This window comes from Homo sapiens, chromosome 2, assembly GCF_000001405.40.
Source record: "Homo sapiens chromosome 2, GRCh38.p14 Primary Assembly".
In the NCBI taxonomy this organism is placed as follows: Eukaryota; Metazoa; Chordata; class Mammalia; order Primates; family Hominidae; genus Homo; species Homo sapiens.
The window spans coordinates 183,101,712-183,121,344 of NC_000002.12; the positions used below are offsets into that span (position 1 = coordinate 183,101,712).

At 39.6% G+C, this 19,633-nt stretch overlaps 1 protein-coding gene across 5 annotated transcripts in view; it reads left to right on the plus strand.

Annotated features, from left to right (window-relative positions):
• The first annotated feature begins 15,802 nt into the window (after nt 1–15,802).
• Nucleotides 15,803–19,633, plus strand: part of NUP35 (nucleoporin 35) — a 44,167-nt gene continuing 40,336 nt past the window's right edge. Inside the window, exons 1-3 of one of the 5 annotated variants that reach the window (XM_011510577.3) lie at nt 15,803–15,915; nt 16,880–17,228; nt 18,295–18,403. The gene's annotated coding sequence lies outside the window, so the exon portion shown is untranslated. The remainder of the gene's footprint in view (nt 15,916–16,879; nt 17,229–18,294; nt 18,404–19,633) is intronic. The other 4 variants (XM_011510576.4, XM_047443270.1, NM_001287584.2 and 1 more) reach the window with 4 other exon arrangements.

Sequence of the window (19,633 nt, forward strand, 5' to 3'; positions counted from 1 at the left end):
GATCCTTGAGGAATCGCCCCACTGTCTTCCACAATGGTGGAACTAATTTATACTCCCACCAACAGTGTAAATGTGTTCCTATTTCTCCACATCCTCTGCAGCATCTGTTGTTTCCTGACTTTTTAATGATTGCCATTCTAACTGGTGTGAGATGGTATCTCATCGTGGTTTTGATTTGCATTTCTCTAAAGACCAGTGATGACAAGCTTTTTTTTCATGTTTGTTGGCCGCATAAATGTCTTCTTTTGAGAGGTGTCTGTTCATATCCCTTCACCCACTTTTTGATGAAGGTTTTTTTTTGTTTTGTATATTTGTTTAAGTTCCTTGTAGATTCTGGTTATTAGGCCTTTGTCAGATGGCTAGATTGCAAAAATTTTCTCCCATTCTGTAGGTTGCCCATTCACTCTCATGGTAGTTTCTTTTGCTGTGCAGAAGCTCTTTAGTTTAATTAGATCCCATTTGTCAATTTTGGCTTTTGTTGCAATTGCTTTTGGTGTTTAGTAATGAAGTCTTTGCCCATGCTTATGTCCTGAATGGTATTGCCTAGGTTTTCTTCTAGGGGTTTTATGGTTTTAGGTCTTACACTTAAGTCTTTAATCCATTTTGAGTTAATTTTTGTATAAGGTGTAAGGAAGCGAACCAGTTTCAGTTTTCTGCATATGGCTAGCTAGTTTTCCCAGCACCATTTATTAAATAGGGAATCCTTTCCCCGTTGCTTGTTTTTGTCAGCTTTGTCGAAGATCAGATGGTTGTAGATGTGTGGCATTATTTCTGAGGCCTCTGTTCTGTTCCATTGGTGTATATATCTGTTTTGGTACCAGGACCATGCTGTTTTGGTTACTGTAGCCTTGTAGTATAGTTTGAAGTCAGGTAGCATGATGCCTCCAGCTTTGTTCTTTTTGCTTAGGATTATCTTGGCTATATGGGCTTTTTTTGGTTCCATATGAAATTTAAAGTAGTTTTTTTCTAATTCTGTGAAGAAAGTCAATGGTAGTTTGTTGGGAATAGCATTGAATCTATAAATTACTTTGAGCAGTATGGCCATTTTCACGATATTGATTCTTCTTATCCATGAGCATGGAATATTTTTCCATTTGTTTGTGTCCTCTCTTATTTCCTTGAGCAGTGGTTTGTAGTTCTCCTTGAAGAAGTCCTTCACATCCCTTGTAAGTTGTATTCCTAGGTATTTCCATTTTATTTTATTTTATTTTCTTTGTTTGTCTTTTATTGGAGTATAGGAATGCTTGTGATTTTTGCACATTGATTTTGTATCCTGAGACTTTACTGAAGTTGCTTATCAGCTTAAGGAGATTTTGGGCTGAGATGTTGGGGTTTTCTAACTATACACTCATGTCATCTTCAAACAGAGACAATTTGGCTACCTCTCTTCCTATTTGAATACGCTTCATTTCTTTCTCTTGCCTGATTGCCCTGGCCATAACTTCCAATACTATGTTGAATAGGAGTGGTGAGAATGCATCCTTGTCTTGTGCCAGTTTTCAAAGGGAATGCTTCCAGCTTTTTTCTAATGTGTCTTTGTGTGATTTTGGTATCAGGGTAATACTAACCTCATAGAATACATTTGGAAATCTTGCTTCCTCCTCTATTTTTCAAAATAGTTTGAGTGGGATTGATTTTAGTCCTTTTTTAAATGTTTCATAAAATTCAGGAGTGAAGCCACTAGGTCCTGGACTTTTCTTTGCTGGTAGACTTCTTATTATGGCTTTGATCTCATTCCTTGTTATTGGTCTATTCAGGTTTTGGATTTTTTTATGGTTCATTCGAAGTAGGTTGTATGTTTCTAGGAATTTTTTCATTTTTTCTATGTTTTGCAATTATTGGCATACAGTTGCTTATAGTAGTCTCTAATGATCCTTTGAATATCTGGGGTATCACTTGTAATGTCTCCTCCATCTGTGATTTTGTTTATTTAGTCTCTCTGTTATTCTAGACACACTCTGGGTCAGAAGGGAACTCTGACTCAGAGTGTTAGTCTGACTAAAAGTTTGTCAATTTTGTTTATCTTTTCAAAGAACAACTTTTTATTTTATTGATCTTTTGTATTTGTTCCATTTCAATTTCATTTATTTCTGCTTGAATATTTACTATTTTTTTTTTCTACTAATTTTGTGTTTGGTTTGCTCTTGCTTTTCTAGTTGTTACAGATGCATGGTTAGGTTTTTTATTTGAAGTTTTTCTACTTTTTTGTTGTAGGTGCTTATTGCTATAAACTTTCCTCTTAGTACTGCTTTCACTGTATCCCATAGGTTTTGGTAAGTTGTGTTTCCATTTTCTTTTATTTCCAGAAATTTTTAAATTATCTTCTTAATTTCTTCATTGGCCCACTGGTTATTCAGGAGCATATTATTTAACTTCCAGGTGTTTGTGTAGTTTCCAAAGTTCCTCTTGCCATTGACTTCCAGTTTTATACCATTCCTGGTCAGAAAAATACTTGATATGATTTCAATGCTTTTTTGAATTTTTTAAGACTTGTTTTGTGGCCTAACATATGGTCTGTCCTTGAGAATGATCCATGTACTGAGGACAAGAATGTGATTCTGCAACTGTTGGCTAAAATGTCCTGTATATACCTATTAGGTCCATTTGGTCTACAGTGCAGATTAAATCCAATGTTTCTTTGTTGATTTTCTGTCTGGATTATCTGTCCAAAGCTGAAAGTGAGTGTTCAAGTCTCCAGCTATTATTGTATTGGGATGTATCTCCCTCTTATCTCCAGCTATTATTGTATTGGGATGTATCTCCCTCTTTAGCTCTAATAATAATTGTTTCATGTATCTGGGTGCTCCAGTGTTGGGTACATATACACTTATGATTGTAATATCCTCTTGTTGAATTGACTCCTTTATCATTATGTGGTAACTTTGTCTCTTTTTATATATTTTATCTTGGAATCTATTTTGTCGGATATAAATATAGCCACTACTCATGCTCTTTTTTGGTTTTGATTTGCATGGAATATCTTTCCATTCCTTTACTTTCAGTCTATGAGAGTCTTTATAGGTGGAGGGTGTTTCTACTGTGGCTGAGCTGGCAGCCAAACCATGGGACACAGTTCTTCTGTATTAGTCTGTTCTCACATTGCCATAAAGAACTGCCCAAGACTGGGTAATATTTAAAGAAAAGAAGTTTAATTGACTCACAGTTCTGCATGCGAGGCCTCAGGAAACTTAAAACCATGGCGGAAAACACCTCTTCACATGGTGGTAGGAGAGAAATGAATGAATACCAAGCGAAGCGGAAGCCCCTTATAAAACCATCGGATCTCATGAGAACTCACTCACTATTATGAGAACAGTATGGGGGAAAACCGCCCCTGTGATTCAATTACCTCCCACTGGGTCCCTCATGCGACACATGGGGATTATGGGATTACAATTCAAGATGAGATTTGGTTGGGGACACAAAGTCAAACCATATCATCACCTTCCTACTATTACCTCTCCTTTGCTCATGCAGAAGTAGTCGCTCCTCATGACCACCACTGCTCCAGGCCCACAGTGAGTACTGCCTGGCTACTACCAGGCAGTTCACTCAAAGCCCAGGGGCTCTTCAGTCAGCTTGTGGTGAATGCTGCCAGGCCTGACTCTCTCCCTTTAGGGCAGTGGGCTCTCCTATTGCCCAGGGTGGGCCCAGAAATGCTATCCAGGAGCCAAGGCCTGGAATCAGGAATGTTAGGAGTTCACTTTGCGCTCTACCCAACTGTGGCCATGCTGGTACCCAAGCTGCAAGACACAGTCCCCTTTATGCTTTCCTCTTCTTTCCTTAAGCAGAAGGAGTCTCTCTCCATGGCCACCACAGCTGGGAATGTGCTGTGTCATTCCTGAAGCCAGCATGGCCCTGGGTTTCCACCCAAGTCCCATGGTGATTACTGCCTTGGTACCACTGATGTTTATTCAAGGCCCAAGGGCTTGTTAGTCAGCAGGTGATAAATCCTTCCACGACTGGGTTCTTCCTTTCAAGGAAGTTGGTTTCCTTCTGACCCAGAGTGTGTCTGGAAATGTCTAGGAGCTAGGTCCTGAAATGGGAGCATCAGGACTCTGCTTGGTGCCCTATTTTACTGTGGCTGAGCTGGCATCTAAGTTGCAAGACAATGTCCTGTTTACTCTCCCCTCTCCTCTCCTCAAGTAGAAGGAAGGAATCTCTTGAAGCTATGAGCTGCACTGCTTAGGGTTAAAGGATAGGTGATGCAAGTATTCTCTTGACAGCCCCAGCTGGTGTCTCACTATGTAGCACCACCCTAATTCTACTGGTTTCGAGCCCAGGACAGCACCAGGACTTGCCCTGGAATCATAGTCCTTACGCCCTGGATGGTCTTCCAAGTTTATTTAGGACCCCATAGCACTTTAGCCCATGGTGGTGGGGCTAGCTGAAACTCAGGTTCTGACCAGTGGGTTGGACACTTCCCATCTGGCTAGACCAGCCCTAGCCAGATGGGAAGTGTCTCTTGGTGGGCACTAACTGAATCCTGCCCTATGTTGCTTTCTGCTGTAACAGAGCAGCACTGAGTTCCAATGCAAAGTTCCACAGTCATTGTGCTCTCTCTTCCCCAAGCACACACATTCTCTCTTGAGGTGACACGGCCACTGCCAAGGGATGGGGGAGAAGTGGTATCAGCAATTCAAGACTGTCTTTCCTACCCTTTCCAGTGCCTCTTTCCCTGATATGATGTTAAAACTAGGTACTTTGATAGCACACCTGACTTTTGTTTTTTATAAAGTGTTTTCTTGTGTAGATAGTTGTTCAATTTGGTGTTTCTGTAGTGGGGATGATTGCTAGAGAGTTCTATTTCACCATCTTCCTATAGCAATTAATACTGTAGAAATATTTATTGAGAATCTAACTATCAATACAAATGGTATTTAATGTAAGAATACTGCATACAAATCTGATTTTGTTGATGCTTGTTATCTATACAGTGATAAATCCTTCAAAGTTAAAAGTAAAGAACACCAATAATGCAACTTGCCTTCACTCTTTCCACTTGAGTATCATTCTACTTGAATATCATTCTAGTAGGATAGGAAGTCTGTTTAATTGCTTGCATTCTCTAAAGTCTCATTCTCCTCTTTCCACAATTCAGTTCTTCTATCAAATGTGTGAATTTACTTAATAAGAGTTGTCCCTTGAACAAGGTGGGTGTTGGAGGAGCCAACCCTTCCTTCCACAGTAGGAAATCCATGTATAACTTTTTTCTTCCAGGGCATGGGGTCTTGCTATGTTGCTCAGGCTAGACTCAAACTCCAGAGCTCAAGCAATCCTCCTGTCTCAGCCTTCCAAGAATCTGGGACTGTAGGTATATACCACCAGGCACATACAAAAATAACACATATATTGTGTATGTTATATGTATTCCATAATCTTACAATAAAGTAAGATAGAGAAAAAATGTTATTAAGAAAATCATAGGTTGGGCATGGTGGCCCATGCTTGTAATCCTAGCAGTTTGGGAGCCTGAGGTGGGCAGATCACTTGAGCTCAGGAGTTTGAGACCAGCCTGGGCAAAATGATGAAGCCTCATATCTACTAAAAATACAAAAAATTAGCCAGGCATGGTGGCAAATGCCTGTGGTCCCAGATACTTGGGAGGATAAGGTAGGAGGATCACTACAGCCCAGGAAGTTGAGGGTACAGTGAGCTATGATCATGCCACTGCACTCCAACCTGGGTGACAGGGTGAGACCCTGCCTCAAAACAAACAAAAACCCAAGAACAAAACAAAAATGATGAAGAAAATCATAAGGAAGAGAAAATATACTTACTATTAATTAAGTGGAAGTGGATCATATAAAGGTCTTCTTTATCATCTTTGTGGAGAGTAGGCTGAGGAGAAGGAGGGAGCAGAGGAGCTGACTTGCTGCCTCAGGGTGGCAGAAGTGGAAGAAAATCTGCATGTAAGTGGACCCACACAGTTTAATCCCATGTTGTTCAAGGGTCAACTGTAGTTGTAATTATTGCTAATGCAGTTTTATGACTGTAAGGAGTAAATCAAAACAGTTAATGTCTCACCACAAGAGATTTGTTTATATACAGCTTTTATAAAAAGAAATGGAATATTTTCTGAAATAAGAGTCTAAGCTCCAAAGTCAGATTGTCAATTTAAATTTTGACTTCACTGCTTACTTGGGCAAATTAACTTTTTAAGATATTTCAGGCCGGGTGCGGTGGCTCATGCCTGTAATCCCAGCACTTTGGGAGGCCGAGGCGGGCGGATCATGAGGTCAGGAGATCAAGACCATCCTGGCTAACACGGTGACACCCCGTCTCTACTAAAAATACAAAAAATTAGCCGGGCGAGGTGGCGGGCGCCTGTAGTCCCAGCTACTCGGGAGGCTGAGGCGAGAGAATGGCGTGAACCCAGGAGGCGGAGCTTGCAGTGAACCGAGATCGAGCCACTGCACTCCAGCCTGGGCGACAGAGCGAGACTCCGTCTCAAAAAAAAAAAAAAAAAAAAAAAAAGATATTTCATAGAGTACTTTTAAAGATTAAATGAGATAATGTGGCTTAATAGTAGGCACTCAGTTTTTTTAAAAGTTGAAGTAGATTTCTATATCATGGGTAGCTCAGGAATGATGTTTTCTCACAACATAAACCATATTCTTATAATAACAAAGACTCTCTTTCAATAAGTAATAATATATACTACAATTCTCATTAATTATAGAAAAATGAAGAGTCATAAAAGCTTTCCTTAAAAAAAAGTAAATTACCTTTTCAGTAGAGTTAAGAAAACGGGAAATCACTGGTATTCAATTCTGTGGTCTTTTCTCTTTCAGCAAATAAGAACAGCTATACCTTGTCCGCCACCGCAAGCTGAAGTATGTGGCTCTTTGATACTGCAGACTCTTTTTTTTTTTTTTCTTTTTTTTTGAGATGGAGTTTCACTCTTTTTGCCCAGGCTGGAGTGCAATGACACGATCTCAGCTCACTGCAACCTCTGCTTCTCAGGTTCAGGTGACTCTCCTGTCTTAGGCTCCTGAGTAGCTGGGATTACAGGCGCCTGCCACCACACCCAGCTAACTTTTTGTATTTTTAGTAGAGATGGGGTTTCACCATGTTGGCCAGGCTGGTCTTGAACTCCTGACCTCAGGTGATCCACCCTCCTCGGCCTCCCAAAGTGTTGGGATTACGGGCGTGAGCCCTGCGCCTGGCCCTGTCTGTATAAAACAATTTGAATGACAGTGGATTTCTTATCAGAAGACATGGAGGCCAAAGGGAAGTGGCATCATATTTTTCAAATGTTTATCCTACAACCAGAAAAAATAGTCTTTAGGAATTAAGGGAAAATCAATCAAGACATTCTTGCTTTTTGGTTTTTTGTTTTTTTTTTTTTCTTCTAGATAGGATGTCTGTTGCCCAGGCTGGAGTGCAGTGGCATGATCTCAGTTCACTGCAACCTCTGCCTCCCAGGTTCAAGCAATCCTCCTGCCTCAGCCTCCAAGTATCTGGGACAACAGGTATGTGCCACCATATCCAGCTAATTTTTTGTATTTTGTTGTTGTTGTTGAGACAGGGTTTCACCATGTTACCCAGTCCGGTCTCGAACTCCTGGACTCAAGTGATCAGCCTGCCTCAGCCTCCCAAAGTGGTGGGATTATAGTTGTGAGCTATTGTGCCTGTCCTCAAGACATTATTATATGAAGGAAAATGAAGAAAAGCTGTGGCCGGCAGACCTGTTCTAAAATAATAGCTTAAAAGAAGTTCTCTAAACAGAGACAAAATGATATAGGAAAAAAATTCTTGGAACAAGAAATAACTTTGCAAACAAAATATGACTGAATAGAATAAGCTTTCCATGTCACCTTGAGTTACTACATTAAGTTTGAGGGTTTAAACCATAATGGTAACAGTCTGATGTGTTTTTATCTGTATGTAGAGGAAATATCTAAAACAATTATATTGCAAATGGGGAAGGATAAAAGGGCATAAAAGTTTCCATATTTTATTTGAAATAGTTAAAATAACAGTAGTAGAGTGTGATCAGTTATGTATATATAGTGTAGTACCTAGAGCAACACCAAATCTACTCAATCCCTTCCAGAAAACAGAAGAGGAGGAAACGATTTCCATTTCGTTTTATGAAGTTAGTATTAGCCTGATACCCAAAACAGGCAAAGAAAGAATACAGCCAAGATCACTCTTCAATACAGATACAAAAGTCCTTAACAAAATATTAGAAAAAAGAATTTAGCTCTTCCTTCCTGTAGGAGACAGCTTTTTAAAAAACTCAGCTATTTATAAAAAGAATGACGTAGCATGACCAAGTGGATTATGTCAGAGATGCAAGGTTGTCTCAACTATTGAAAATAAATCAGTATAATTAACCATATTAATAGGGAAAAGAAGAAAAATCACATAATCATGTAAATTAATACCGAAAAAAACATTTGACAAGCTTCAACACCAATTCATCACTCTCAGAAAAATAAGAATAGAGAGGAAACTTTCTCAACTTGATAAAAAGCATTTACAAAAAACCTCTATAGCTGCAGACAGTGGCTCACGCCTGTAATCCCAGCACTTTGGGAGGCAGAGACAGGTGGATCACCTGAGGTCAGGAGTTCGAGACCAGCCTGGCCAATATGGTGAAACCCCGTCTCTACGAAAAATACAAAAATTAGCCAGGCATGGTGGCACGCACATGTAGTCCCAGCTACTTGGGAGGCTGAGGCAGGAGAATCTCTTGAACCCAGAAGTTGGAGGTTGCAGGGAGCCAAGATCCTACCACTGCACTCCAACCTGGGTAACAGAGCAAGACTCCATCTCAAAAAATAAAAATAGCCGGGCACGGTGGCTCACGCCTGTAATACCAGCACTTTGGGAGGCCAAGGCGGGTGGATCACGAGGTCAGGAGTTTGAGACCAGCCTGGGCAACATGGTGAAACCCCGTCTCTACTGAAAATACAAAAAATTAGCCAGGTGTGGTGGCAGGCATCTGTAATCCCAGCTACTCGGGAGGCTAAGGCATGAGAATTGCTTGAATCCGGGAAATGGAGGTTGCAGTGAGCCGAGACTGTGCCACTGCACTCCAGCCTGGGCAACAGAGTGAGACTCCATGTCAAAAAAAAAAATAAATAAAAATAAAAAACAAAATAAAATAAACCTTATAGATAATATTATATTTAATGGTGAAAGACTAAATGCTTTTCTCCTAAGATCAGGAACAAAGCAAGGATGTGTGTTCTCACTGCTCTTCTTCAACATATTGCTGCAACTCCTAGCCAGTGTAATAAATCAAAACAAGGAAATAAAAGGCAACAGATCAGATAGGAAGAAATAAAAGAGTTCCTTTTGCAGACTGCATAGTTGTTTACATAAAAAATTCCAAAGAATTTACAAAAAAACTGAATGCAATTGTACTTCCACATGCTAGCAGCAAACACAACCACTAAGATTAAAAATACAATATGATTTACACTCACTCAAAAAAACAAAAGTGAAGAGGCCGAGCGCGTTGGCTCAGGCCTGCAATCTCAGCACTTTGGGAGGCCAAGGCAGGCAGATTACCTGAAGTCAGGAGTTCGAGACCAGCCTGGACAATATGGTGAAAACCCATGTCTACTAAAAATATAAAAATTAGCTGGGAATGGTGGTGGGCACCTATAATCCCGGCTACTCTGGTGGCTGAGGCAGGAGAATCGCTTGAACCCGGGAAGCAGAGGTTGCAGTGAGCCAAGATTGTGCCATTGTACTCTAGCCAGAGTGAGACTCCATCTCAAAAAAAAATTAAAAAAAAAAAGTGAAGAAATATTTAGGTGTAAATTTAATATAACATGTACAGAACTTATATGCCAAAAGCTATAGAATGCTAATGAAGAAATAAAGAGAGATCTAAATAAATGTAGAAAATTGTTAATGTATTGAAAAATTAAGTGTAGTAAAGGTATCAATTTACCTCAAATTGATACACAGCTTTAATCAAATTCCTATGAAAACCTCAGCAAGACTTTTTACAGATACAGACAAGATTATTCTAAAATGTATACGGAAAGGCAAGAAACAAAAATAGCTACAACAATTTTGAAAAAGAAGAATAAAGTAATCTGGTTTCAAGACTGGTTATATAGCTACAGTAAACAGGACTGTGTAGTATTGGCAAAGAGACAGACACTTAAATCAATGGAACAGAACAAAAAAATCCAGAAGTAGACCCATATAAATATGTTCAAGTGATCTTTGACAAAGGTGCAAAAGCAATTCAATGAAGGAAAGGTAGCCTTTTTAACAAATGATGCTGGAGCAATTGGACATCTGTATTTCCATAGGCCAAAAAAAAAAAAAAAGAAAGAAATTCTATGTAATCCCATACCTTCAACAAAAATTAACCAAAAATGGAGTATAGACTTAAAAGGAAAACTAAAACACTTTTAGGAGAAAATCAAAGAAAATTGGCCAGGTGCGGTGGCTCATGCCTGTAATCCCAGCACTTTGGGAGGCCAAGGAGATCAATCACAAGGTCAGGAGATAGAGACCATCCTGGCTAACACAGTGAAACCCTGTCTCTACTAAAAAAAAATACAAAAAAATTAGCTGGCGTGGTGGCAGGTGCTGGTAGTCCCAGCTACTCGGGAGGCTGAGACAGGAGAATGGTGTGAACCCGGGAGATGGAGGTTGCAGTGAGCCAAGATTGCACCACTGTACTCCAGCCTGGGCAACAGGGTGAGACTCCATCTCAAAAAAAAAAAAAAAAAAAAAAAGAAGGAAAATCACTGGGTTCCAGGGCTAGTCAAAATGTCCTTAGACTTGACACCAAACTTGTGACCCACAAAAGCAAAAATTTATAAATTGGAAATTTATAAATTGGACCTCATCAAAATTAAAAACTTTGCTATTTGAAGGACCTTGTTAAGAAGATGAAAAATGGAAGAACATATTTGCAAACCGTGTATTTGACAAAAGATTAGCATCTAGAATATATTTAAAAAATTCTCAAAATTCAACAGTCAGAAAAAAAATCAACCCAATTAGGAAATGGACAAAATGTATGAAGAGACACTTTACTGAAGAGGATATACAGATGACAAATAAGCACATAATAAAATGTTCGACATCATAGCTACTGGGGAAGTGCAAGTTAAAACCACAATGAGATATCACTACATACCCACCAGAATGGCTAAGAGATAATGACACACCAAATGTTGGCAAGGATATAGAGAAATGGAATCACTTATATGTTATTGGTGGAAGTGTAAAATGGTACGGCTACTCTGGAAAAGATTTTGGCAGTTTTTAAAAAAGCTAAATACACAACTACTGTGTGACCCAGCAACTATACCCCTGGGCATTTTCCCCAGATAAATGATTATATATATTAATACAAAAACGTGTACATGAATGTTTATAGACAGTTTATTTGTAATAGGCAGAACTGGAAACAACCCAGATGTTCTTCAATGGGTGAATGGCTGTCTAAAGTGTGATGCATCCATGCCATGGAATACCATTCAGTAATAAAGAGGAACAAACTAATGATGTGTGTGCGTCAAGCCGAATGAATCTACAAAGAATTATGCTGAGTAAAAAAGTCAATCCCCAAAATGTTACATACTGTATGATTCCACTACTATAACATTCTTGACATGACAAAATTATAGAAATGGAGAACAGAATAGTGATTTTCAGGAATTAAGGAAATGGTGGCAGGAGAGGGAAGTTGGTGGGGTTATAAAAGGGCAACATGGTAATAATAATGTCCTTTAACTTGATGTATCACTGTTCAATATCCTGGTTATGACATTGTACTTTAGTTTTGCAAGATGTAATCATTGGGAGAAACTGGGTAAGGGGCCATGAGATTTCTCTGCATTGTTTTTTACAACTGCTGGTGAATCTATAAATATCTCAAAAATAAAGTTTTTAAAAGGCTTAATGAAAAAAACACAAGTCCTTGACTTCATGGAGCTTATAATCTAGTTGGGAGGGAAGATATGGATTATTTTTTAAAGTACAGAAATATATAACTCAAACAGTAACCTCATCTAGTTATGAGGGAAGGCTTTCCTGACTTTTGAGTGACATTTACCATCGGTTAGAAAAGATAAGTAGGCGTTGACTAAGTGAGGGAGAGTGGGTTGTTGCAGGTCTTCCAAAACTGAGGGAGGAGAATAGGTAAAGACCCAGGGTTGGGAAGGAGCATGACACATTGGAGTGATGGAAAGAGGGCTGAATGGCTGGAGCAGTGAACCAGAAGTGATAAGGTGGTGTCAGATGAGGCTGGACTGTTAGGCTACATCAAGCAGGGGCTTGTAGGAAGCTCTAGGATTTTGGCCTTTTAAACAGTGAAAGAAACTGAAAAGTTTTGAGATAGGATCTCGCTCTGTCACCCAGGCTGGAGTGCAGTGGCATGATCAGGGCTCACTGCAGCCTCAACTTCCCGGGCTCAAGCAATCCTCCTGTCTTAGCCACCCAAGCAGGTGGGACTACCTGTAGCAATCCCACTTCAGCCTCCCAAACTGTTAGGATTACAGGTGTGACTCATTGCACCCAGCAAAATGGAAAAGTTTTAAGCAGGAGAGAAACTTATGCAGAATATTACTTTAAAAAGATCAGTCTGACTGCACTGTGGAGAGTGGATTAGGGAGGGAAAGCAAGATCATTAAGGAAGCTAGGTCCAGGTCTCAGGTGATGAAACTGAGATTTTGCTGAAGCAGTAAAAATTGAAAAAAAAATGGATGCATTTAAATGGTATTTAGGAGGTAGAATTCACAGGACTTGGCATTGAATTTGTGTTGGAAAGAGAGGTTTTCAACACCATCCATGGTTTCATGCTTTAATAACTAGATGGCTGGTGGTGCCATTCCCTGAGATAAATATTCAAGTTTTATACAAAAGACCATGAGTTTGGCTTTTTAAATTTGATTTTGAAGTACCTTTGAGATATCCAAGTCAAATAGATATGTCAAGTAGGTAATTGGATACATAAATTTGTACCACACAGAATGATCTGGGCTGGCGATATGAATTGAGAGTCATTGTAGGCAATGTGCATGGATGACAACATATGAGGAAAGAGTGTAGGGCAAGGCCAGATCATAAGATAAAGCCTTGGGGGACAATTTTATTATTATTATTACTATTTTTATAGAGACAGGGTCTTGCTATGTTGCCCAGGCTGGTCTCGAACTCCTGGGCTCAAGCGATCTTCCTGCCTCAGCCTCCCAAAATGTTAGAATTATAGGTGTGAGTCACTGGCACCTGGCTATGGGAACAATTTTTAGTGGCTAGGTAGAGGAGGATGAGTCAAGAAAAGACATGGTCATATGGTGAGAGAGGCAGGAGGGAACTCAAGAGAGTATATTGCCAGAGAAACTGAAGGCTACAAAGAGAGTGTTCAAGAACTCACACTGAGAAGTTACAAAAGGTTAGAACCTAAAATGTATTGGATTTAGCCTCATGGTGGTTGTATTAGTCTGTTCTTGCATTGCTATAAACAAATACCCAAGACTGGGTAATTTATAAGAAAAGAGGTTTAATTAGCTCATAGTTCTGCAGGCTGTATAGAAAGTATAGTGGTATTTGCTTCTGGGAAGGCCCCAGGAAGCTTTTTACTCATGGTGGAGGGGAGAACAGGAGCAGGTGCTTCACATGGTGAAAGCAGGAACAAGAGAGTGAGGTGGGACATGCTACACACTTTTAAACAACCATATCTCATGAGAACTCACTATCTCAAAGACAGTACCAGGAGGGATGGTGCTAAACCATTCATGAGAAATCCACCCCCATGATCCAATCACCTCCCACCAGACCCCACCTCCAACACTGTGGATTATATTTCAATATAAGATTTGGGTGGGGACACAGATCCAAAACATATCAGAGGTCTTTGGTGACTTTGGAAAGACTTGTTTGGCAGATTAATGGGGGAAGAAGCCAAATTAGTTTATCAAAGGCTACATCGTATGCTGAATGACAGATAAGACCATTAGGCTAAAATTCAATTGTTGAATATATTATATTTAATATATATCTATTGCTGGGTAAATAAGTCAATGTATTACATGAGGTAGGTAAAATTATTCACACTATTCAGATTTTTAAAACAGAGTCTTAGAGATGTTAATGTCACATGTCTATTAAGTATTTGAAGTCAAGATTTGCACCTGTAGTCAACAACACGCTGATTCTCTAAACAAAGGCATTATCAAGCAAGGAAAGATTCATGTTTTCCTTTTTTCGTTTTTTGTTTTTTGAAGAGACAGGGTCTCATTCTATCACCCAGATTGGAGTGCAGTAGTGTGATCATAGCTCACTGCAGCCTCAAACTTCCTGGGCTCAAGTTATCCTCCTACCTTAGCCTCCCAAGTAGCTGGGACTACATGCGTGCATCACTATGCCTGGCAAAATTTTTTATTTTTATTTCTTGGGTCCCCAGAAGTTGCCCAGGCTGGTCTCAAACTCCTGGCCTCAAGTGATCCTCTTGCCTCACCCTTCTGAGTGGCTAGGATTATAGGCTGAGGCCACCATGCCCAGCGTTTTTCATTGATTTTTTTTCTCTCATTTTTCACATAAGCTGAGACAGAATGTATGACTTTTGAACACTCTAGAATTTAGGCTTATTGATGTTTTTTTTAAAAAAGAATTTAATTAGGGAAAATAACAAACATACACAAAATTATAGACAATAGCATTGAGTTCTAGCACTCTGAAAAAAGAAAAAGAAAAACAAAGAATAGCATAATTTGTTACCATCAACATTTATTGACTCATGGCTTTTCTGGTTTAATGTATACCCCTAGACATCATCCCTCCTCTCTTTCTGCCCTCCCTACCCTAGCAAATTATTTCAAGGCAAATCCTTGATATAGCTCTTCCTAAAATCCATAGCATTTTTTATTCAAAGTTGTCAATTTTGCCTGCTATGAACTTCCTCTTTTAAACATCTGATCAAACTACCTGATAGTTCAAATAGAAGAGCAGGAAATAAAATTACACCTGAAAGTTATGTAAGTTTTAAAGTTAGTTTTTTCACTTCCTGCAGGTGAAAGGAATCATTTAATTGATTTAACGACAACAGGTGAATGAAGTAAACTGATGTTTCTTTTGAAGTTTAGCTACTTCCTTTCTGCCAGTTGTTTACTATAGTAAAATGATCAGAAAAACTTCATGCATTTTCACATGTAATATTTTATTTTTAAATGTATAAAGACATGGCTTTGGTCATGATTGTTTATAGAGGTCAGATAATGCAAATAACAAGAGTAAATTTGTATTTTTTTTTTTTGAGACAGAGTTTCACTCCTGTTGCCCAGGCTGGAGTGCAATTGCATGATCTTGACTCACTGCAACCTCCACCTGCTGGGTTCAAGCGATTCTCTTGCCTCAGCCTCCCGAGTAGCTGGCATTACAGGTGCCTGCCACCACACCCAGCTAATTTTTGTACTTTTTTAGTAGAGACGGGGTTTCAACATGTTGGCCAGGCTGGTCTCGAACTCCTGACCTCCGGTGATCCACCCGCTTCGGCCTCCCAAATTTCTGGGATTACAGGCATGAGCCACTGTGCCCAGCCAAATTTGTATTTTTTTAAAGATGATGTCTGATTTTTTTAAAGACGAGGTCTCACTGTGTGGCCCAGGCTGATGTTAAACTCCTGAGCTCAAGCAATCCTCCTGCTTCAGCCTCCCAAAGTGCTGGGATCACAGGCGTGAGTCACCATGCCCAGCCAGATCTCTACATTGTAAACATCACAAAGGGTCTTTGGAGATCACTTGTCCTTGGTATCCAGGAAGTCATGGTTCCTCTGTGTGCTTTATGTGACATCATTAAGTGAGGGGTAGCCCATGCTACACCAGGTGCTGAAGGCTGAGACGGTGAGAGCATGAGTGATAAGATGCTCTCTCCCCTTGCTCTCTTTCTGAAGATGACAAACTCCATCTTTTTTCTAAAGTCTTACTAAAGGTGGAAATCTTTTTTCTTCACTTCAATTTTAAAAAATTATTTGTTTTTGTTTTATAGAATAGACTGAGAGTGGGCTTTTAAGAGTAACAAGTTGATTTTGTATTTATATACAAACACTGCATATTGTTGGACACTTATAAATAGGTTGATGAATATTCAGTATATATGATAGATATACAAGCAGTTTGGTGTGGATATATTAAACTTATTGAAAAATTTTTAAAATGTGAGATTTTACATATTTCTGACTTTTTCAAAATTTGAGTTTAGAAGAAAGTTGAAATATAGCTCAGAGCTAATTTTCAGGTTGAGCTCTCTGTAGCCCTAGGTACTCCAAACCAAGTATTTCAAGAGTCACCTGGAGTTGCGATACTTGGCAGTTTAGGGGGCAAGAACCCTTGTACTCTTTCTGTTCCTCCCCTCCCAACTGGGCAGTTGTATTTATTAAGCATCTGCACCATCCTTTGTTGAAGAAAGGGCTCCCCACCTAAGTTTGATAATCAATGGTCTACAAAAATAGCACTATGATGAAATCTGATGTCCTGGGAGGAAGGAATTCAGAACAGAAATAGGAAACAGGTTCCATTTGACAGTTTATTTAGTGCGTTCAGAATAGAAGGTAGAGAAAAAAGTATTGTAATCAAGATAATATTCATCTACAGAGGAATATAGTGAACATGCAGTATTTCTAAAATTGCAGTTTAACAAGAAATAAAAAAAGTACAAATGTTTCTCATTCAAGATAATCCACATTTTGAAGATCTCATTTTACACAAAAAAGGGTAATTAGAACTATAAACAGGTCTTCATTTTATAATAAGCACTTAATATAACTAATGTGCAGTTATGATTTTTAAAATTGGCAAACATGCAAAATTGCATTAAATAAGTTATGTCAGATAATTATCCTTTGTTTAATGTTTATTTACAGCTTGTAATTAATGTTTAATCATTTTGTTGTCAGTGGTGGGAATCCAAATTACACAGCACCAAAATATGTTGTCAGCGGCAAATCCATACGGGTCTGCAACAACAATTCTTGTGTCCTCAGGAGAGAATCTGACTAAGGGGCATAAGGCAGAAGAGACCAAGACAAGTTTTAGAGCAGGAGTGAAGGTTTGTTGAAAAACTTGAGAGGAGGAATGAAAAGAAAGTAAAGTACACTTGGAAGAGGGCCAAGCGGGCATCTTGGAGGACAAGTGCCCCATTTGACCTTGGACGTAGGGTTTTACATGTTGGCATACTTCTGGCATCTTGCATCCCTTTTCCCTTGATTCCTCCCTTGGAGTGAGAGGCCTGTTAGCACTTTGGAGGTAAGCATGCGCAATGTGTTTACTGGAGTTGTACGCATGCTCACTGGAAGTGTTCTTCCCTTACCAGCTGAATGTCCTTAGGAGGTCAGATACCAGTTAAACTCCTCCATTTTGCCTCTTAATATGCATGCTTGAGCCCACTTTCCCAACTCCTTGGATCTTATCGGGAAGCTGCCGATCACCAGTTTTAGGTGTTTCTATCTACTGGGAAACTGCCTTTTCCTGGCACTGGCTGCAATCAATTATTTTAGAGAGAGAGTTTAACAACCGCCTGACATTCCTGGTTGGGGTAGGGGGCACCTTCTCTTGCTCTGTTTATGCCTGAATAGCTACCTACTGTAACCATTTATTTTTCAACATACATTTAATTGAAAAATAATGGAAATACAAAATAGGAAAAGTTATGGTCCCTGGCCTCAAGAAAATCCATCTAGTGGGGCTGAAAAGAAAACTTACAAAACAAGTATCTTACAGCAAAGTGAGGTGAAGAGATAAGACGAATCAGAGTTGGCATGGCTGGGGCAGGTTTACATGACAGAAAGAGGCTTGAGCTGCTACTTGAAAGAAACACAAGACTTTGCAAATTGGGGTGGAAAGCTAAGGGATGCTAGGCAGAGGGTTGATGTGAGCAAGAAATACAATGTGAAGAGCTGTTCACAAGAGAATGAGGGTTTTCAACAGGGAATAATGAGAGAATTGATTGGAGCAAAAGGTTAGGATGAGGAGGTGAAGGAAATTTTTCTTTTTGGAGGGGGGTGGGCAGGGAACAGGGTCCAGCTCTGTGGCCTAGGCTGGAGTTCAGTAACAGGATCATGGCTCACTGCAGCATGGAACTCCTGGGGTCAAGTGATCCTCCCGCCTCAGCCTCCTGAGTAGCTGGGACTAAAAGGTACATGCCACCCCACCCTGGGATTTTATTTTTGAAGCCAAGGATCTCAGTTACCCCAGGGTGAAAGTAGGGTAACAATGTGTATTGCCTTTAGGGGTTCCTATGGAAGTCTCTTAAAGAGATGCTTCTACCCTCCCACCATGAGAGATTCTGATTTTTTCCTTCTTTGCTGTCCAGGTGACAATGTATATAGTATAATGAAGGATGTTACTAAATGACATGTGCTGCACACCTGAGTCTTGTGGAGGCTGAAGAAAAGGAGGCTTCTGTAGAAAATAGGAACTCAGTGAGTGTTTTCAGACAGCTGGGTAATGTGTATGAAGAAGAAAGCTTTGGGCCAGGCACGGTGGCTCATGCCTGTAATCCCAACACTTTGGGAGGCCAAATCTGACAGATCACTTGAGGTCAGGAGTTCGAGACCAGCCTGGCCAACATGGCAAAACCCTGTCTCTACTAAAAATACAAAAAGTAGCCGGGTGTGGCGGTGTACACCTGTAATCCCAGCTACTCGGGAGCCTGAGGCAGGAGAATTTCTTGAACACGGGAGGCAGATGTTGCAGTAACCTGAGATCGCTCCACTGTACTCCAGCCTGGATGACAGAGTGAGACTCCGTCTCAAAAAAAAAAAAAAAAAAGAAAGTTTTGGCTACTGGTGTGTTAGGCTTGGTGGGAGAAACTGAAGGCAGGGAGATGTAAGGAGTTGACTGCAATTGTATAGGAATTGAAGAGGCAGAAAGAATATCTCAATGTTTGATGGTAGAGAAGGTGAATGTCAGAAAAAACAAAGTGGAGCAGACACTGTACTAAGAATAACCATTTTTCAAAGTAGGTATTGTTTCTATTTTACAAACAATATAATCTAGAAATCAAATACAAATCCAAGTTATATAGGTTTTAGTGAGAGAGTTGGGCTCTGAATTGAGGTTCGTCTGACTCTAAATTCTGCTAATGCACTATGAATTCAATTTTGAGTTTCTAAGAGATGGAAAGAAAAAGACAAAAGATGAGCTTGCTTTTGAGGTTTGATGTACGGGTAGGTTGTGCAGCAAGCATCTGGAAAAGTGGCATTTGGCTTTAGAGATGTTGGGTATAGATTATTAAAAATTATTTGCACAGGGTGACAATGATAAGGATTCCAAGGGAGACCACTAAGAGTTGAAAAAGAAAGGAGAGAGCAAAGGCTTGAACATCAATAATATTCCCAGGTTAGAAAAAAAATGGGATCAATTATTGAAAAACCAGAAAAGGAGTAGGAAGTTATGAGAAATAGGAAGTGTAGCATCACCAAAAATAAAGAAAACACTTGTACTTAGGAAAAGATTGTCAAAGCTGTTGGATACTGCAGATGTCAAGGAGGCAGGTCTAATTTGGCAATTAGAAAAAAAAAATAGTTGGGGTCAGTAGTTTTATTTCGGAAGAGCATTACACAGGAGCCAATCTGCAATTAATTAAAAATCAAAATAGTAAAGATAGGGAAACAGATAATTTACTAAAATCTATAGACACTTCTTTTGAG